Genomic DNA, 19,563 nt, shown 5'->3' on the forward strand with positions numbered 1-19,563 from the left:
CGCCAGCCTCACTGAACTTTCTGCAATTCTTCAAACATGCCAAGCTCATCCCCAGCCTTACCCTTCTGCTCGGGTGATGACTGAATACAATTCATGATTTTCAAGTCCTAGATTGCATGGAAATAGCTATAAAGAATGTTATTGGGGCAATTGAGGGAATTTGAATATGGGCTGTGTATTAGATAATACTGTTATATCAGTGTTAAATTTCTTTTTTGTTAGTTACAAAATTTTTTTACACAAATAAAGGCAAATCGATGTTAAATGTCTTCAGTGGGCTAATCCTACTGTGGTTATGTAGGAAAATGTCCTTGTTCTTTGGAGTTACATGCTAATGTATTCAGAGATTAAATATAATGATGTCTAACACTTCCAGAGGAATTGTGGCAAAACATTGACAACTGGTAAATCCAAGGGAAGGATATATTGGTGTTCATAGCAGCATTCTTTCAACTTTGTCCTGGGTTTGATTTTTTTCAAGATAAAATAGAGTAAAAGATGGACAATTTAAAGAAAAAATATCTTAATCCAGGAATACTTAAAAATCAGTAGAGCATTTGTCAATGCCCTTCTAAAGATTCAGAAGATGTGGGTAGGACCCAGGGGCCTGCCTTTTCATGGCCCGGGTGACCCTCAGGCAGCTGCCCAGGCCACACTTTGAACAGGTTCACTGAGCACTCTGCCCTTGGAGTGTGGCTTGCTGGCACAGCCCATTATTTCCCATTCTCCAGCTGAGGAGCGGCTGGCTGAAAGATCAAGCAGGCGGATGGAGACGTGATTTTACAGTGAGGGTGGAACCGGAGATTGTGGGCACAACAGAGAATGGTGAGGAGTTGCGGAAAGATTTTGTCTTCCTGCCCTGTCTTTTGGCTTCTGGAGGAACAGAGGAGGCTCCTAGAACTCAGGGAATGAATGGAATGAGGGCTCCAAACTCCTCATACCAGTGCTTCTCTGACTCTATTTTACACTCCCTTGGATAAATGTCATCTGTAAACAAACAAACAAACAAAAAAAGAAATCACAATAAGTTTTGAAGTATTCCCCAAATTCCAGTGTTCCAGGATCCTTGAGTCTTGAACTCAACATAGATGCAGACTGAACACGTCAGCACGTCATTCTGACTTCTGACCAGAAGGTGGCAGCAACATACCTCGCTTTATTTTAGGGGCCACCAACAAAGAGATTTTTTGGGTGCCTCACACGCATTCAATTGACCTAGGTCCCGCCGCAGACACCACGGACAAAAAGATCAGTACGATCTTATCGTTGCCCTCAAAGATCATATTGTCAGGGAGCGGAAAGTCAGAGGCAGACATATAAACAGATTACCAGTTACTAGCTGTGTGACCTTAGGAAAGTTACTTAACCTCGCTGTGCCTCAGTTTCTTCAACTATGAAGTGGGAATAGTAATAGTACCTATGTCATAGGGTTACTGTGAGGATTAGGAGTGATTAAATAAATGTGTTAGACCTAGCACTGTATCACTATGTGATACAGTGAGAGAAGGGATGAGCTGGCAGGGATGCCCACAGTGCTCCCTAACTGGAAGCAGTGGAGCCCCAGGTGGAGATAATGGGAAAGAGTTCCACTCTGGTAAAGCCACTCTGTCAGTGGGGACCCTGCAGCCAAACTGGGCTGGGAGAGTCTACCTTCAAAAGTGTGGTGCTGGATCCCTTCCGGCTGAGGCTCACCTTGGGTCCTGCAGGCATAGAGTGAAGAACACCAGCAGGGCCACTCAGGGCCTGATCAACCAGGACGCGCCCTTCCAGAGGAAACCACCACTAGCTCACTGTACAAGCTCAGACATGCAACTTGGTCCCTCTGAGCCTCAGGTCTTACCTAAGTGATGGGGAAATAGGACCACAGGGACCAAGGAACAGTGCTGAGTTCCACATCTGGGACATCGCAAGAGCAACTATAAAGTCAGGCAATTCAGGAGCAGCGAGGACTTGGAGCTAGGGACTCAAAAATAAAGCTGGGGGGCCAGGCATGGTGGCTCACGATTGTAATCCCAGCACTTTGGGAGGCCGAGGTGGGTGGATTGCCTGAGCTCAGTAGTCTGAGATCAGCCTGGGCAACATGGTGAAACCCCCTCTCTACCAAAAGTAGAAAAAAATTAGCCAGGCGTGGTGGTGCGCTCCTGCAACCCCAGCTACTCAAGGACTGAGGCAGGAGGATCGTTTGAGCCTGGGAGGCGGAAGTTGTAGTGAGCTGAGACTGCACCACTGCATTCCAACCTGGGTGACAGAGTGAGATCCTTCTCAAAAAATAAAAATAAAATAGGCCGGGGGCTGTGGTTCATGCCTGTAATCCCAGCACTTTGGGAGGCCAAGGCGGACAGATCACGAGGCCAAGAGATGGAGACCATCCTGGCCAACATGGTGAAACCCATCTCTACTAAAAATACAAAAATTAGCTGGGTGTGGTGGCGTGCCCAGGATGTAGTCCCAGCTACTTGGGAGGCTGAGGCAGGAGAATCGCTTGAACCCCGGAGGCGAAGTTTGCAGTGAGGCAAGATCGCACCACTGTACTGCAGCCCGGTGACAAAGCGAGACTCCGTCTCAAAAAATAATAGTAGTAACAATAATAATAATAATTAATAATAATAATAATAAAATAAATAAATACATAAAAATAAAATAAAGCTGGGAAGACAAAGGAATCCTGGAGAGGACCCTGGACTTCACCTAGGATGTGGAGTGGAGGTTTAGTTTTTTAATTTTTATTTTGTTTTGTTAAATTTTTTAATTTTTATTTTTGAGACGGAGTCTTGCTCTGTCGTCCAGGCTGGAGTGCAGTGGCGCAATCTCGGCTCACTGCAAGCTCCGCCTCCCGGGTTCACGCCATTCTCCTGCCTCAGCCTCCTGAGTAGCTGGGACTACAGGCGCTCGCCACCATGCCGGTTTACTTTTTTGTATTTTTAGTAGAGACGGGGTTTCACCGTGTTAGCCAGGATGGTCTCGATCTGACCTCATGATCTGCCCGCCTCGGCCTCCCAACGTGCTGGGATTACAGGCGTGAGCCACAGCGCCTGGCTGGTTATTTATTTATTTATTTTGAGATAGGATCTCAGTCACTGGGGCTGGAGTACAGTGGTGTAGTCACAGTTCACAGCAGCCTTGACCTCCTGGGCTCAGGTGAGCCTCCCACCTCAGCCTTCCAAGTAGCTGGGACTACAGGTGTATGCCACCATGCCTGGCTAATTTTTGTGTGTTTTGTAGAGATGGGGTTTCTCCATGTTGCCCAGGACTGGTCTTGAACTTCTAGGATCAAGCGATCTGCCTGCTTTGGCCTCCCAAAGTGCTGGGATTACAGGTGCGAGCCACTTCGCCTGGCCTGGAGTGGAGGTTTGTGTCAATCCTAGACCCGGAGAGGCAGAGACCCCAGCTGACAGATGCAAGTATTAGGGATGTGCTGAAGCAGAGGGTAAGGCTGGGAGGAGCTTAGCATGTCTTTTTTTTTTTTTTTTTTTTTTTTTTTTGAGACAGAGTCTCACTCTGTCGCCCAGGCTGGAGTGAAGTGGCGCGATCTTGGCTCACTGCAACCTCTGCCTCCCGGGTTCAATAGATTCTCCTTCCTCAGCCTCCCAAGTAGCTGGGATTACCGGCGTATGCTACCACGCCCGGCTAATTTGTTTGTTTGTTTTTTGAGATGGAGTCTCGCTCTGTCACCCAGGCTGGAGTGCAGTGGCGCGATCTCCGCTCACTGCAAGCTCCACCTCCTGGGTTCACACCATTCTCCTGCCTCAGCCTCTCCAGTAGCTGGGACTACAGGTGCCCGCCACCACGCCCGGCTAATTTTTTGTATTTTTAGTAGAGACAGGGTTTCACCATGTTAGCCAGGATGGTCTTGATCTCCTGACCTTGTGATCCGCCCGCCTCAGCCTCCCAAAGTGCTGGGATTACAGGCGTAAACCACTGTGCTCCACTGGCATGTCTTTGTTCTATGACTGTTCTTTGGCCAGCCATGGATCTCTTTACTCTCCCAATCTCCCACTCTCTCTTGCCTACATGCCCTCCTAATCCAGCTTTGAGCCCGTGGCCTGACATTTAATAGCACTCTTGGCCAGGCGTGGTGGCTCACGCCTGTAATCCCAGCTCTTTGGGAGGCCGAGGCAGGCGGACCATTTGAGATCAGGAGTTCGAGACCAGCTTGACCTACATAATGAAACCCCGTCTCTACTAAAGTACAAAAATTAGCCAGGCATGGTGGCAGGTACCTGTAATCCCAGCTACTCGGGAGGCTGAGGCAGGAGAATCGCTTGATCCCAGGAGGTGGAGGTTGCAGTGAGCTGAGATCATGCCACTGCACTCCAGCCTGGGCAACAGAGCAAGACTCTCTCTCAAAAAAAATTTAATTTAATTTAATTTAAAAATAGCACTCTTGCCAGTAACCTAAACTTCGTTACTCACCTTCCCTGCAAACCCCTGAACACATGCAATAGTTGTTTCTCTTCCAGCCTTCATCAGAGCAGCCAAGGGAGGCAGGAGGAGGAGGAGCGATGAGAATACTGGCAAATACTTCTACAGCATGTACTAGGTGCCAAGCACAAGTGCTTTACAGAGGGTAACTCGTTTAATCCTCCCAACACCATGAGGTAAGTACTGTTATTATCATTCCCATTTGTGGATAAAGAAAATGGGGTGGCCAGGCGCGGTGGCTTATGCCTGTAATCCCAGCACTTTGGGAGGCCGAGACAGGTGGATCACGGTCAGGAGATCGAGACCATCCTAGCTAACATGGTGAAGCACCGTCTCTACCAAAAATATGAAAAAATTAGCCGGGCGTGGTAGCAGGCGCCAGTCATCCCAGCTACTCAGGAGGCTGAGGCAGGAGAATGGCGTGAACCCGGGAGGCGGAGCTTGCAGTGAGCTGAGATCGTGCCACTGCACTCCAGCCTGGGCGACAGAGCGAGACTATGTCTCAAAAAAAAAAAAAGGAAGAAAAAAGAAAGAAAGAGAGAAAGAAAGAAAGAAAGAAAATGGGGTGAACAGAGGTTAAGTCACTCAGAAAACCCAAAGCACACAGCTAATTAAGGTGAGCAGCCATGAATGAACCTGCACCATCTGCCCAGAGTCCCGGTCCACCAGGGGAGGATGAGGCCAGGGAGGACTTGGCTTCTTCCGCCTTGGGTCCAAGCACTACTTTCAGCAACCAGGGGCACAGTCCAAAAGAAGCCCAGACTCTCACTGCTCTTGGGGCTGACATTATCACTCTGGAGGTTAATAATAATAGCAATAATAAAACCAGCTTCCATTTTCAGGCTTTAAGATGTGTGTCCTAAGCACTTCACATGTATTTATTTATTCCTTTAGTCCTCCCAACAACACTATGAGGTAGAAGCTACAGTTAGTTATCTCCCTTTTCTTGAGGGACATGAAGGGACGTAGTGACGAGCCTAAATTCTACAACAGAGTGGTGGATCAGATGGGAAGTGTGGCAGCTGGATGCCAGAGCCCGGCTCTTAACCCAGACTCTTTGCCTACCTTTGCTCCGCCTGGAGTTGCTGGCCTGCTCCTTCTGCTTTAGGGGAGGAGCCTCTTCTGCCTGGCAGTTCCCCACCCAGGCCTGATCCACAGCTCCAGAGCCCTGCTGTGGCAGCCCTCTGTCCCTTCTCCTCCGAGGCATGTAGGTGGCCAGCGGAGCCCTTAAGCAGGGTGAGGACGGGAACTCCATCTGGAACTCCCCAGGCCCAGCTGCAGCCCCAGCAGCCTCTACTCTCAGAGGCTTGGGTCCCCCACTAGTGCCCTGTAGACAGGGCCTGAGCTGGTCCTCCCCAGGCCTTGCCCGCCTCTCCTGATGCAGAGCTGGCTCCCTGCTCCTGGAGGGTGGGGCCAAATCCGGGATAGATGGGGCTCCAGGCCAACAGCAGCTGGGGCTCAGTGCCCAGGACTGCGGCAGGAAGCACCAAGGCTTCCCTAGCCCCTCCTCACACCCACCAAGCCTCCCGGCCCTATCCCGGGTGGGACCCTACCCCTCCCAATTCCCAGGAGTTAGGGGAGGCCAAGCTGTCATTTATTCGTCCTGTCCCATCTCTCCCTTCCTCCCGCTTCCCACTCCCCTGGCAACCAAACCAGACCCATCAAGGAGAAGGAACTGGCAGCTGTGCAGGGAGAGACTAATGGCCCGGAAGGAAGGAGGGGCCTGGAAAGGAGACGAAGGCGGTAGGGACGTGAGCAGGGCGTTGGCCCTGGCCCATCTCACAGGACGCACAAAGGGGGGAGGGGGCTGCTGCCCTGCAATACTGAGGAGCTGGCCAGCCAGGGAGCCGCCCTCCTTACCCCCAGCCAGATATCCAGGCAGGAACCTGAAACCTGCTTCCCCAGATGCACTCTCTTGTCCTCAGGTCCCATCTGAGGCAGACCTGTCTCACAGGACAGCGCTGGAGTCCCCAGCAGCAGCAGCAGCCCCAGCCCTATGGTTCCTGGCAAACCCAGCAGACCTCAGCAACCCGGCTCCTGCAGACCATCCGAGCTGCCTCTGTCCACTCCTGGGCAGGTTGTGCTTGCATTCTGGAAGCTGTTTGACATACAAAGGCCAGATATCAGCCTTCTCGCTAACTCTGGAGTAGGGGAGGGTGTGGTGGGATGTGTGATTGTGTGTGTATGTGTGTGTATGTAGTGTGTGTGCGCATAGATATACAAAGCTGTGTGTATGCATCTGTTTGCGTGCGCAGGTTTGTGGACCTGTTCTGGGGCCTTCTCTCTTTCAGACTGCTGGGGATGGGCACTTTCTCTTTCCCCATCTCTTCCCCATCCAGCCCCACCCATCCCTGGTACCTGCAACTCATCAATACTGGAAACCAGCTCCTGCCAGTCCATCCATCTCTCAGCCTTGGCAGCCGCTGTTGCCCCTCAGCCCCCTCCCCTTCCTACCTCAGGAATCACTCTGGTTCCTGTAAAGCCCATGACTGAGCAGCAATTGGTGTGGGGTTGGGGGGAGGGAGAATCCAGTAAACCAAGACAGAATACAAAAGGCCCACTTAGCCCAGCCCGTGGCATGGGGCAGACCCTCCCGAGTGGGATCCAGAGCTGGGTCCAGCCACCCTCAGCCCCCTATGATGTACCCACCTCATTGGGGCTTGTTGCGGGGTAGGTCTAGGTTTGGGGGCTGTGTCTTTAAGGCTGAAACATCAGCAGACAACCTCTGCTGGGCCGTCTTCAGGGGAGGGGGAGGGGGGCTGGTCAGCCCATTAGCAGCAGAGCTGGCGCCAGGCACCAGCCCTTCACAGGGCCCTGGGGATTAGGGAGAGTAGCTCTTCCCCAGCCCGATCTGCCTCTGCGCCCCTGTCTCCTATTCCTCTCTGGGTGTGGTGAAGGAGGGGTAGCTGACAGCAGGTGAAAATAGAGCCTGGCCTTCAGGGGGCAAGTCAAGGCACTAGCTATGGGGCCTAAGCCAGGTCAACTCTCCCTCCAGCTGGCCTCCTCCCTACTCCTGTGCCAGAAGCCTGCCCTTTAACTTCAGGTCCTTCTACCTCGCAATTTTCAGGGACTCTAGTTCAAGTCAGGCCTTCCTACCCTAGGTTCTAGCTTTGGGTGCTTGTTGGGAGGAAGTGACCCCCACCCCAGCGGCAACAGGGGGCAATCAAGTGGGTAGAGGCCTGCAACCAGGGAAGGGAGGGGAAGGCGCTCCTGCTGTTCCGCAGGGGTGGGGCATCCCCCTCCCCATACAACCCCCCTCCAGCGGGCCATCAGGCCAGTGGGAGGAGCTGCCCGTGCCCCCCCTGAGACCGCAGGGCTATAAAGCCGCCTCGCAGCGGTCTGCGGCTCCTTCCCAGCCCCCGGCCTAGCTCTGCGAACGGTGACTGCCCATCCTTGGCCGCAATGAGCCACCACCCGTCGGGCCTCCGGGCCGGCTTCAGCTCCACCTCATACCGCCGTACCTTCGGTCCACCGCCCTCACTATCCCCCGGGGCCTTCTCCTACTCGTCCAGCTCCCGCTTCTCCAGCAGCCGCCTGCTGGGCTCCGCGTCCCCGAGCTCCTCGGTGCGCCTGGGCAGCTTCCGTAGCCCCCGAGCGGGAGCGGGCGCCCTCCTGCGCCTGCCCTCGGAGCGCCTCGACTTCTCCATGGCCGAGGCCCTCAACCAGGAGTTCCTGGCCACGCGCAGCAACGAGAAGCAGGAGCTGCAGGAGCTCAACGACCGCTTCGCCAACTTCATCGAGAAGGTACGCTTTCTGGAGCAGCAGAACGCGGCCCTGCGCGGGGAGCTGAGCCAAGCCCGGGGCCAGGAGCCGGCGCGCGCCGACCAGCTGTGCCAGCAGGAGCTGCGCGAGCTGCGGCGAGAGCTGGAGCTGTTGGGCCGCGAGCGTGACCGGGTGCAGGTGGAGCGCGACGGGCTGGCGGAGGACCTGGCGGCGCTCAAGCAGAGGTCAGGGGGCAGGGCTGGGCCGCTGCCGTCGAGGCGAGGTCGAAGCGGCCGTCGAGGCGGCTGCTCTTGCCTCCCCTCGCTTCCCCTCTCCATCAGCAGCCCAAGGGTGTGGCTCCCCTTACCAACCCAGGTGTGTGCGGGCAGCATCCCTGCCCACGGGCTCCAAGTGCCCCCCGCTACCCCTTTGCTCTGAGTGTTTGGGGAGGTGGGAGAAGTGGGTATCTGTGCCTCCCCTGAGTAATGAGGAAACCCCCTTTTCAGCTCCCAGTCCGTTAGAGACAATGCGGGGCAATTCCATTAGACAGCCTCAGCCCTCCATTTAGAGTCCTGGGCAGCAGAACAGCCTCTAACCGGATCCTGGGGGGCGTGCGGTCTGGGGTGCGAGCTGGGCGGCGACCCCGCAGTTCAGCCTCTGCACGCTCTTCCCGTCAGGTTGGAGGAGGAGACGCGCAAGCGGGAGGACGCGGAGCACAACCTCGTGCTCTTCCGCAAGGTGAGTCCGAGCCCCTCTCCGAGTTCAGCCTCCCCACCGCTACCCCCGATCTCAGTATCCAGAGGTGGCATCGGTGGGCGCGGGGAGAAGGGGGTAACCCAGATGCCTCCTGAGGCAGACAGGGAAGGCCTGGTCCTTCCTTGGTCTGCGCAGCCCCTAACTTATCTTGAACCTCCACTGCCACCCCTCGAAGGACGTGGACGATGCCACTCTGTCCCGCCTGGAACTAGAGCGCAAGATTGAGTCTCTGATGGATGAGATTGAGTTCCTCAAGAAGCTGCACGAGGAGGTAAGTGGGCCCGGTATCAGGGGCGGTTTCTGAGGTTGTGGGGTGGTCTCGCTGGAGCTGGCGGGTGGAGCGGAGGCATCGCCCTGGGGATCAGGACGATGCTGGGTAGACGCAGCCCCTCCACCCTAGTCTACAGGTGGTTAGACTCCCACCCTTGCGCCACCTGGCGGCGGGCAGCGGGGCTGTACCTCCGAAACCTGGCCTCTGGTCTCGCGCCCGCGGGGGCGCAGGGCTGTACGCCCTGCCCTCCCTGGCGCCCACTTCTGTTCGTTCAAGCGTTTCTTCTCTTTTCTGTGCACGAACTGCGTGGCCCGCGTGGAATTTGCGCCGCTGTCCATCCTCTGCCTGCTCCCGGCCGTAGGAGCTGCGAGACCTGCAGGTGAGTGTGGAGAGCCAGCAGGTGCAGCAGGTGGAGGTGGAAGCCACGGTGAAGCCCGAGCTGACGGCAGCGCTGAGGGACATCCGCGCGCAGTACGAGAGCATCGCCGCGAAGAACCTGCAGGAGGCGGAGGAGTGGTACAAGTCCAAGGTGCAAGAGCCGGGAGGGCCTGCGAGGCGGGACGCTGGGGTGGTGTCGCGCGTCCCAGCCGACTAAAGCCTGGGTTACCCCCACTTCTCAGTACGCGGACCTGTCCGACGCTGCCAACCGGAACCACGAGGCCCTGCGCCAGGCCAAGCAGGAGATGAACGAGTCCCGACGCCAGATCCAGAGTCTAACGTGCGAGGTGGACGGGCTGCGCGGCACGGTGAGTACGAAGCTGCGCGCTCGGGCCCGGGGAGCGGACGATGAAATGTTCTGCAACTGGCCCCTTCCACTCTCCTACCCCAGAACGAGGCGCTGCTCAGGCAGTTGAGAGAGCTGGAGGAGCAGTTCGCCCTGGAGGCGGGGGGCTACCAGGCGGGCGCTGCGCGGCTCGAGGAGGAGCTGCGACAGCTAAAAGAGGAGATGGCGCGGCACCTGAGGGAGTACCAGGAGCTCCTCAACGTCAAGATGGCCCTGGACATCGAGATCGCCACCTACCGCAAGCTGCTGGAGGGCGAGGAGAGCCGGTGAGGGTGGAGCTGCTGGGGCGGGGCAGGGCGGGGTCGGGACTGGGCCGGGCAGGGCGGGGCCTGGGCAGGGGCGCTGACAACTTGCTTCGCCTCTAGGATCTCCGTGCCCGTCCATTCTTTTGCCTCCTTAAATATAAAGACGACTGGTGAGTCTGGCTTACAGCCTGTACCTCTCCTTGTCCACTTCTGCCCTCCTCGGGCTCTTGCTCTGGCTCACCTCAGGGATCTCTTCTCCCCACGGAACTTCTGGGTCCTGGCCTGTACCCACCCCTACTCCTCAAACCCGCCCCTCCCCTGCCCTCAGGGATAGCAGTGGGAGCCTAAGAGGAGAGATTCCCACGCCTTCCCCCTTGAACCCTTTATCCTGCTTTCTTCAGTGCCTGAGGTGGAGCCTCCCCAGGACAGCCACAGCCGGAAGACGGTTCTGATCAAGACCATTGAGACCCGGAATGGGGAGGTGAGGCAGGTCCCCTAATGCCAGGACCCCACCATTTCCCATATTATTTCTGAGCCCCAGCCTGGCTGTCGCTAATCTTACTTAGGGTGGGTAATTCTTGGGGAGAGACAGAGAAGGAGACAGAGAACGTGGATAGATAACCAGGAGCCTCTGCTGGTTACCCCAGGGAGTGGGGCTCTATGATCCAAAGGAGTAGGATGGAGGGTGGCGCTGAATGGCTTGTGCCCATCATATGCCCTGTCCCCAGCAGGTGGTGACAGAGTCCCAGAAGGAGCAGCGCAGTGAGCTGGACAAGTCTTCTGCCCACAGTTACTGAACCCCTTGGTCCGGAGCCTTGACTCTGCCCTAGGCCTGCTCAAAGCCCAAACCCTAAGACCACTCCTGAATTGTCTCCTCTCCCTCTGCATGTGTCTAAAAGGTGGTACCAGGCATCCCTTTCCTGGCTTATGGCCAAGCCCTACCCGGCCAGCAGTCGCTGGGCCTCTCCCTGCCCTGACACTTGATGTGACCTATGTGCTTCCCTTTTCATGTCCCGATAAGAAGCCAATGATCCCCCCTCAGGACAAATCTACTCCAGCCACGATGAGAAGTGGGTGAGCCAGGGTCTGAGTTTCACATTTGAACCAAATAAAATGCTGTCAAGAGAAAACTCTCCAGTGCATTTGTTTCTGTGGAAGTGTGTGTGCGGTACCTGAGGGGAGGAGCCTCGGCGGTGTTCTCCCTTTGTCTCGAGTCATTTCTTTTCTGGCTGTCACTCTCTTGGCATCAATATACCCTTCTAGGTTTTCTACCTCTGTCCATTCCTTTTCAGCTTTTGTCCCTCACCTGCAGCCTGGAATGCCCAGCCACCTGCTGGGTGCCTCACAGGCCACTCAAACTCAACCTGTCCCAAACAGAGCTCCTCACCTCCCTCTGCAATCATGCTCTTCCTCTGGATTCCTTGCCCCAGAAGAAGGCACCACTAAGACACCTAGTGCCCAAGTTAGAATTCACCTCAGCTTATGCACCCTTCTTTTCTTCACCTGACCCCAAATTCTGTGAAGTCTACTTCTTTTGTTATTTAAAAAATTTTAATAGGCTGGGCGCGGTGGCTCACGCCTGTAATCCCAGCACTTTGAGAGGCCGAGGCAGGTGGATCATGAGGTCAGGAGATCAAGACCATCCTGGCTAACATGGTGAAACCTTGTCTCTACTAAAACTACAAAAAAATGGCCGGGCGTGGTGGCTCACACCTGTAATCCCAGCACTTTGGGAGGCCAAGGCGGGTGGATCACTTGAGGTCAGGAGTTCAAGAAGAGCCTGGCCAACATGGTGAAACCCTGTCTCTACTAAAAATAAAAAAATTAGCTGGGTGTGATGGCGGGTGCCTGTAATCCCAGCCACTTGGGAGGCTGAGGCAGGAGAATCGCTTGAACCTGGGAGGCGGAGGTTGTAGTGAGCCGAGATCGCACCACTGCACTCCAGCCTGGGCAACAGAGCGAAACTCTGTCTCAAATAATAATAATAAGAAGAAGAAGAAGAAGAAGAAGAAGAAGAAGAAGAAGCCCGGTGGCCAGGCACGGTGGCTCATGCCTGTAATCCCAGCACTTTGGGAGGCCAAGGCGGGCGGATCACGAGGTCAGGAGATCGAGACCATCCTGGCTAACATGGTGAAACCCCGTTTCTACTAAAAAAAAATACAAAAAATTAGCCAGGCATGGTGGCGGGCACCTGTAGTCCCAGCTACTCCGGAGGCTGAGGCAGAAGAATGGTGTGAACCCAGGAGGCGGAGCTTGCAATGAGCTGAGATCATACCACTGTACTCCAGCCTGGGCAACAGAGCGAGACTCCGTCTCAAAAAAAAAAAAAAAATAGCCAGGCGTAGTGGCACGCGCCTGTAGTCTCAGCTACTTGGGAGGCTGAGGCAGAAGAATCACTTGAACCCAGGAGGCAGAGGTTGCAGCAAGCCGAGACCGTGCCACTGCACTCCAGCCTGGGCAACAGAGCGAGACTCCATCTCAAAAAAAAAATATATATATATATACACACACACATTTATTTATTTATTTATTTATTTATTTATTTATTGAGATGGAGTTTTGCTCTTGTTGCCCAGGCTGGAGTGCAGTGGCTCAGTCTCCACTCACTGCAAACTCCATCTCCCGGGTTCAAGCAATTCTCCTGCCTCAGCCTCCCAAATACCTGAGATTACAGGTGTGCACCACCATGCCCAGCTAATTTTGTAAAGTTTTTTTAGTAGAGACAGGGTTTCACCATGTTGGTCAGGCTGGTCTCGAACCCCTGACCTCAGGTGATTCACCCACCTCGGCCTCCCAAAGTGCTGGGATTACAGGCGTGAGCCACTGCACCCGGCCAAAAATAATTTTTTTTTTTTTTTTTTTTGAGATGGAGTCTTGCTCTGTCACCCAGGCTGGAGTGCAGTGGGGCAATCTCGGCTCACTGCAAGCTCCGCCTCCTGGGTTCATGTCATTCTCCTGCCTCAGCCTCCCAAGTAGCTGGGACTACAGGCGCCTGCCACCACACCCAGCTAATTTTTTTGTATTTTTAGTAGAGACGGGGTTTCGCCGTGTTAGCCAGGATGGTCTCCATCTCCTGACCTCATGATCTGCTCACCTCGGCCTCCCAAAATGCTGGGAATACAGGAGTGAGCCACCTCGCCCAGCCCAAAAAATAATTTTTAAATTTGCTTCATGAGATGGGGTCTTGCTATGTCACCCAGGCTGGTATTGAACTCCTGGGCTCAAATGATCCTCCTGCCTCAGCTGCCCAAAGTAATGCTAGGATTACAGGCACAAGACATCATGTCAGGCTTTTTTTTTTTTTTTGAGACGGTCTCACTCTGCCACCCAGGCTGGAGTGCAGTGGCACCATCATAGCTCACTGCAACCTTGACCTCCTGGGTTCAAGTGATCCTCCCACCTCAGCCTCTTGAGTAGCTGGGACCACAGAAACTTGCCACCACTCATAGCAAATTTTTCCATTTTTTGTAGCGATAAGGCCTCCCTATGTTGCTTAGGCTGGTCTCAAACTCCTGGGCGCAAGTGATCCTCCCACCTCAGCCTCCCAAAATGCTGGGATTACAGGCATGAGCCACTGTGCCTGGTATGAAGTCTACTTCTTAACTCTCTTTCAAGTCTGTCTGGTTCTCTCCATCCCCATTACCAACATCTTAGTCCAGGCCAGCATCATATCTTGCGTGGGTCACATTATCTACATTATCAATGGTTTCCTTCCCCTGGCCTGCTCTGCCACCTGCCCAAATCTATTCAATACCCTTAGTAAATCAGATTATGCCATCACCATCCCTGCCTCTGCTTGAAAATGTCTATTTCCTGACCAGGTGTGGAGACTCATGCCTGTAATCCCAGCACTTTGGGTGGCCAAGGTGGGAGGATGGTTTGAGGCCAGGAGTTCGAGACCAGCCTCAGCAACACAGAGAGACCCCATTTCTACAAAAATTAAAATATTAGCCGGGCATGGTGGCATGAGCCTGTGGTCCCAGCTACTTGGGAGGCTGAGGTAGGAGGATCACTGGAGCCCAGGTCGTGGTTGCAGTGAGCCAAGAAAAGTGCCACTGCACTTCAGCCTGGGTGATAAAGTAAGACCCTGTCTCCACAAAAAGAAAAAAAGAAAAAAAAGAAACACCCATGCTGTCTTCCAACTTCCAACTCCATTCCTCCATTCCGTCCTACCCTTGCCTTCAAGTCAAAATTCACATCTGAATTTAAGATGATCTTCTTCACTCAGCTATGGTGCTAGGTGCAATGAATAAGTCAGAGTCCCTGATCTCAAGGAATTTACAGTTTGGGGTGGGGGAGACAGGCAACATAAGCAGACAATTTCAACCTCCTGAGGAGTGCTGTCTGGGATACTAAGCAGATAGTGGTGTTGATATGAAGATAAGCACCTAAGCCAGGCTTAGGCAGGAGGCGTGGCTTCCCACAGGACGTGACATCACACTGAGCACTGAAGAATGAGCGGGACTTAGTCTGGTGAAGCAAGGAGAGAAGGACTTTCTAGGTATAGAAATCAGCCAGGAGGTAAGACAGCAAATTTGGAAACTAAAAGCAGTTTCATAATGATGGAGTAAAAGCTAGAATGGAAGTAACAGCGCTGATGCTGGAAAGATGAACAAGGGCCCAGTCACAGAGGGCTTGATAAGCCATGTTAAAGCAGTCAGGTTTTTGTTTTTTAATTAATTTATTTATTTATATTTTCATTTATTTATTTATTTGAGGCAGAGTCTCGCTATGTCGCCCAGGCCGGAGTGCAGTGGCGAGATCTCACCTCCCAGGTTCAAGCGATTCTCCTCCCTCAGCCTCCCAAGTAGCTGGGACTACAGGCACGTGCCACCACACCCAGCTAATTTTTCCTGACCTCAGGTGATCCACCCACCTTGGCTTCTCAAAGCGCTGGGATTACAGGCATAAGCCACCACACCTGGATTTTTTTTTTTTTTTTTTTTAAAGACAGGGTCTCTGACACTAGGCTGAAGTGCAGTGGCACTATCATAACTCACTTCAGCTTCCAGCTCCTGGGCTGAAGTGATCCTCCTGCATCAGCCTCCCCAGTAGCTGGGACTACAGGCGCATGCCACCATACCCAGTTAATTTTTTAATTTTTTTTTTTTGTAGATACAGGATCTTGCTATGTTGCCCATGCTGGTCTCAAATTTCTGGCCTCAAGCAATCCTCCCACCTCAGCCTCCCAAAGTGTTGGGATTACAGGTGTGAACCATCACATCTGGCCCTGAATTTATCCTAAGAAAAAGGGAAAGAAACTTAAAAGTTTTAATAAGGAGGGTGATTCAGATCTGCATTTTAGGAAGATCACTCTTGCTGAAATATGCAGAAAGAATTGGAAGGAGATGGGAGATCAGGTCAGAGGCTTTTTCAGTGAAAAATACAAGAGATGATGATGGGTATTGTCACCGGAGGTGGGTTTGAGAAATACTGGGGGGTGGAATCTGCAGTTTCTAGGATTGATTGGCAGTGTGCAGAAAAGGAATAGTAACAATGACCAGCGTTTTTGCTTGAACAACCAGGCAGCTAGATGATGGTACCTTTCAAAGAAAGAGCAAAGCTGGATGCAGTGGCTCTCAACTGTAATTCCAGCTACTCGAGAGGCTGAGGTGAGAGGACTGCTTGAAGCCGAGTTCGATACCAGCCTGGACGACATCATGAGACTCTAGCTCTAAAAAAAAAAGGAAGACTGAAGTGAAATGGGGAAAGTGGGAGCCCAAGACAACAAAGTCAGTTTTAGACTCACTGAGCATGAGATGCTCTGGAACATCCAAGAGGAAGGGATGAAGGGGTGCCAGGCAGCTGGCGTCACAGGTCTGGAGTTCAGATGTGGTTGGATATTTTGAGATACTGAATCTATTAGAATGCTATTTATTTATTTATTTATTTATTTTTTGAGACAGAGTCTCGCTCTGTCACCCAGGGTGGAGTGCAGTGGCGTGATCTCCACTCACTGCAAGCTCCACCTCCCAGGTTCACGCCATTCTCCTGCCTCAGCCTCCGGAGTAGCTGGGACTACAGGCATCTGCCACCACGCCCGGCTAATTTTTTGTATTTTTAGTAGAGACGGGGTTTCACTATGTTAGCCAGGATGGTCTCGATCTCCTGACCCGTGATCCGCCCGCCTCAGCCTTCCAAAGTGCTGGGATTACGGGCGTGAGCCACTGCGCCTGGCTAGAATGATTTTTATTACAAGTAACAGATGACCTCTATAAGAAAAATAAGGCCGAGTGTGGTGGCTCATACCTGTAATCTCAGCACTTTGGGAGGCCAAGGTGAGAGGATCTCTTGAGCCCAGGAGTTCCAGACCAGCATGGACGACATAGGGCAATCCTGTCTATACAAAAAATACAAAAATTAGTGGCATGCACCTATAGTCCCAGCTACTCCAGATACTGAAGTGGGAGGATCGCTTGAACCTGAGAGATGGAGGCTGCAGGGAGCTATGATCATACAACTGCACTCCAATCTGGGCAACAGAATGAGATCCTGTTTCATAAATAAATAAAAAAATAAATACATAGAAAAATGAAAAGGAAATATCTCACATAACAGAGAGCCAGAGGTAGGGGGCAGGCTCTGAGGTTGGTTGATTCAGAAGCTCAATGATGTCACCAAGGACCCAGGCCCTGTCCATGGCTCGGCTCAGCTTCCTCCTTGGAGGGGTACTTTGCCCTTGGGATGGTCCTCATGATTCCACAATGGCTGTCAGCAGCTACTGGGTGATGCCAGGTATGAGATAGAAATCTTTCCCATTAGGCTGTTTAGCTAATGTCTTTGTCGTGTCTACTCCTGAACTAGTAACAGTTGCCAGGGGACAGCTGCTGACTGGCTTGGGCTCATTATCTGGTATGGAATGGAAGTCAGGAATCCATGAGGTCACACCAGATGTTGCTCAGGCTTTCACCACCACCCTCTGCATAGGACACACATACACACACATTCTTTATACCCCATGCCTTTGCTCTCTTCCATTCAGTGGCACCTATTACCTCAAAGGAGAAATATCACTGTGGAAAAGCAGACAAAAGCTTTGGGGTTTCAAATATTTAGGTGTTTAAGTGAGCAAAAGTTTCAGTTTGAAAACTTTTACATCAGTTCATGGCCTGTGATTTGTACTGGGTACAAGGAAGAGAGATTGAGCCAAAGACAAGGGCATGGGACCTCTCAGGTGTCACACACGGGAAAAAATGAAATCACCTGGCCGGGCGCGGTGCTTCATGCCTGTAATCCCAGCACTTTGGGAGGCCGAGGCGGGTGGATCACCTGAGGTCGGGAGTTTGAGACTAGCCTGGCCAACATGATGAAACCCCATCTCTACCAAAAATACAAAAAATTAGCTGGGCATGGTGGCGCACACCGGTAATACCAGCTACTCAGGAGGCTGAGGCAGGAGAATCACTTGAACCTGGGAGGCTGAGGTTGCAGTGAGCTGAGATCACACCACTGCACTCCAGCCTGGACAACAAGAGCAAAACTCCGTCTCAAAAAAAAGAAAAGAAAAAAGAAATCACCCAAGAACAGTGCATATAGCGAGAAAAGAAAAGAACCTTGGGTAGAATCTTAAAGAGAATATGGAGAATTAACAGGCTGAGATGGAGGAGGAACACCAGGAAAGTGTGGCCTTGACTTCTCAAGGCCAGAGAAAGCTTTAAGGAGGGAGCACTGGGCCAAATGATGCTGGGAGCCCAAGTTACAAAACAATAGGAAAATTTAGGATTTATCAACAAGGAAGATGCTAGAGACCTAAGTGAGAGCAGATTCAAGGCAGAATTGGGTCAGAAGAAAAAAGAGGAGTGAATGAGAGATGAGGAAGTGAAGACCAGAGTACCCTCTTTTTTTCTTTTTCTTTTCTTTTTATTTATTTATTTATTTATTTTTTGAGATGGAGTCTCACTCTGTCACCCAAGCTGGAGTGCAGTGGCACGATCTAGGCTGACTGCAAGTTCCGCCTCCCAGGTTCATGTCATTCTCCTGCCTCAGCCTCCCGAGTAGCTGGGACTACAGGTGCCTACCACCATGCCCGGCTAATTTTTTGTATTTTTAGTAGAGACGGGGTTTCACCGTGTTAGCCAGGATGGTCTCAATCTCCTGACCTCGTGATCCACCCGCCTCAGCCTCCCAAAGTGCTGGGATTACAGGCGTGAGCCACCGCGCCCGGCCCAGCCTTCTCTAATTTTGTCCTCTCTCTGTTCCTTTCAGTACAAGCTGGCAGTGTTTCTGTTGCATGACATTCTCAAGAATGGGTTTCCTATGTATGTATCAGGGATTCACCCCATTATACAAGAGACTCTGCCACAAATCTTTTCGAATAATCTCATTTCTCTTCCGCTTAGATGACTGAGGAGACTCACTAGTCACATGCCAAAACCCTCCAACGGGCCCATTGTGTGGCTGACTGATCTGATCTTTGATCCTTCCGAGGCACTAGCAGAAGATTGCCAAGGTACACTCTTGGATTTCTCTTCGGAGCACGTTTCCTGACAGTGAATGGCCTAATTTGAGCATATTTACCAATATGGGTAGGCTGAGAATTTCCCAAATACCAAGTCCTGCTTCCTTTCTGCTCAACAGTTCTTCCTTCAGTTTATCTCTCCTCTCACATTTTACTATAAGCAGCAAAAAGAAAGCAGTCCACCTTCAACACTTTACAACACAGCTAAATATCCAAGTTCATCCTTACAAATTATGCTTTCCACATAATTATGACACAATTCTGCTGAGCTTCCTACCACTATATAAAAAATCCCCTTTCCTCCATTTTCTAAAAACATGTTCCTCATTTCCTTCTAAGCCCTTAATGTCAGCACTAACATTCACATTTCTACCAACATGATGACTTAGAGATTCTCTAAGATAATACAGGGATTCTCTCCTATGCTCCTCAGTTCCTTCTGAGCCCTCCCTGTCAGAGTTGTTAGCATTCATACTTCTGCTAACAGTCTATGTAAGGCAAACTGGACATTTTTTTTTTTTTTGAGATGGAGTCTCTCTCTGTTGCCCAGGCTGGAGTGCGGTGGCATGATCTCGGCTCACTGCAACCTCCACCTCCCAGGTTCAAGCGATTCTCCCTGCCTCAGCCTCCCAAGTAGCTGGGGTTACAGGCGCGCACCATCATACCCAGCTAATTTTTGTATTTTCAGTAGAGATGGGATTTCACCATGTTTGCCAGACTGGTCTCAAACTCCTGACTTCAGGTGATCTGCCTATCTCGGCCTCCCAAAGTTCTGGGATTACAGGCATGAGCCACTGCGTCTGGCCAGAGATCCTGATTTTCTTTCCTTTGGGTATATATACAGTAGTGGGATTGCTGAATCGTATGGTAGTTCTAATTTTAATTTTTTGAGGAATCCCCATACTGTTTTCCATAATAGTTGTAC

General features: G+C 52.1%; 1 protein-coding gene and 1 long non-coding RNA gene across 2 annotated transcripts in view, besides 8 other annotated features; one reads left to right on the plus strand and one right to left on the minus strand.

Annotated features, from left to right (window-relative positions):
- The window catches only part of TROAP-AS1 (TROAP and PRPH antisense RNA 1), a 31,946-nt gene continuing 17,637 nt past the window's right edge, over positions 5,255-19,563 (minus strand). The window contains exons 3-8 of the long non-coding RNA NR_120449.1: positions 16,430-16,516; positions 15,724-15,854; positions 9,340-10,330; positions 7,884-9,208; positions 7,072-7,159; positions 5,255-6,520 (exon numbers count right to left, since the gene is read on the minus strand). This is a non-coding gene — a long non-coding RNA (TROAP and PRPH antisense RNA 1). The remainder of the gene's footprint in view (positions 6,521-7,071; positions 7,160-7,883; positions 9,209-9,339; positions 10,331-15,723; positions 15,855-16,429; positions 16,517-19,563) is intronic.
- Positions 5,263-6,026: an enhancer, noted in NCBI's record as "H3K4me1 hESC enhancer chr12:49686422-49687185 (GRCh37/hg19 assembly coordinates)". NCBI's record gives its function as "activates a minimal SCP1, AML or CMV promoter by ChIP-STARR-seq in naive H9 embryonic stem cells {active_cell/tissue: H9 hESC(naive)}" and the evidence as "EXISTENCE:reporter gene assay evidence [ECO:0000049][PMID:30033119]".
- Positions 6,027-6,789: an enhancer, noted in NCBI's record as "H3K4me1 hESC enhancer chr12:49687186-49687948 (GRCh37/hg19 assembly coordinates)". NCBI's record gives its function as "activates a minimal SCP1, AML or CMV promoter by ChIP-STARR-seq in naive H9 embryonic stem cells {active_cell/tissue: H9 hESC(naive)}" and the evidence as "EXISTENCE:reporter gene assay evidence [ECO:0000049][PMID:30033119]".
- Positions 6,869-7,786: an enhancer, noted in NCBI's record as "H3K27ac-H3K4me1 hESC enhancer chr12:49688028-49688945 (GRCh37/hg19 assembly coordinates)". NCBI's record gives its function as "activates a minimal SCP1, AML or CMV promoter by ChIP-STARR-seq in primed H9 embryonic stem cells {active_cell/tissue: H9 hESC(primed)}" and the evidence as "EXISTENCE:reporter gene assay evidence [ECO:0000049][PMID:30033119]".
- Positions 7,771-11,310, plus strand: PRPH (peripherin). Its single transcript, NM_006262.4, has 9 exons — positions 7,771-8,369; positions 8,802-8,862; positions 9,056-9,151; positions 9,513-9,680; positions 9,772-9,897; positions 9,981-10,201; positions 10,301-10,350; positions 10,582-10,661; positions 10,912-11,310. Exons 1-9 carry the CDS (start codon positions 7,825-7,827, stop codon positions 10,975-10,977), a joined length of 1,413 nt encoding a protein of 470 aa, NP_006253.2. The 5' UTR covers positions 7,771-7,824; the 3' UTR covers positions 10,978-11,310.
- Positions 7,787-8,703: an enhancer, noted in NCBI's record as "H3K27ac-H3K4me1 hESC enhancer chr12:49688946-49689862 (GRCh37/hg19 assembly coordinates)". NCBI's record gives its function as "activates a minimal SCP1, AML or CMV promoter by ChIP-STARR-seq in primed H9 embryonic stem cells {active_cell/tissue: H9 hESC(primed)}" and the evidence as "EXISTENCE:reporter gene assay evidence [ECO:0000049][PMID:30033119]".
- Positions 9,676-10,220: an enhancer, noted in NCBI's record as "H3K27ac-H3K4me1 hESC enhancer chr12:49690835-49691379 (GRCh37/hg19 assembly coordinates)". NCBI's record gives its function as "activates a minimal SCP1, AML or CMV promoter by ChIP-STARR-seq in naive H9 embryonic stem cells {active_cell/tissue: H9 hESC(naive)}" and the evidence as "EXISTENCE:reporter gene assay evidence [ECO:0000049][PMID:30033119]".
- Positions 9,676-10,324: a biological region, named in NCBI's record as "Sharpr-MPRA regulatory region 11953".
- Positions 9,960-10,129: an enhancer, noted in NCBI's record as "active region_6311". NCBI's record gives its function as "activates an Ori minimal core promoter by ATAC-STARR-seq in GM12878 lymphoblastoid cells {active_cell/tissue: GM12878}" and the evidence as "EXISTENCE:reporter gene assay evidence [ECO:0000049][PMID:35858748]".
- Positions 10,030-10,324: a silencer, noted in NCBI's record as "tiled region #11953; HepG2 Repressive DNase unmatched - State 4:PromP". NCBI's record gives its function as "represses a minimal TATA promoter and a strong SV40 promoter by Sharpr-MPRA in HepG2 cells {active_cell/tissue: HepG2}" and the evidence as "EXISTENCE:reporter gene assay evidence [ECO:0000049][PMID:27701403]".

Source organism: Homo sapiens, chromosome 12, assembly GCF_000001405.40.
Source record: "Homo sapiens chromosome 12, GRCh38.p14 Primary Assembly".
Classification (NCBI taxonomy): domain Eukaryota; kingdom Metazoa; phylum Chordata; class Mammalia; order Primates; family Hominidae; genus Homo; species Homo sapiens.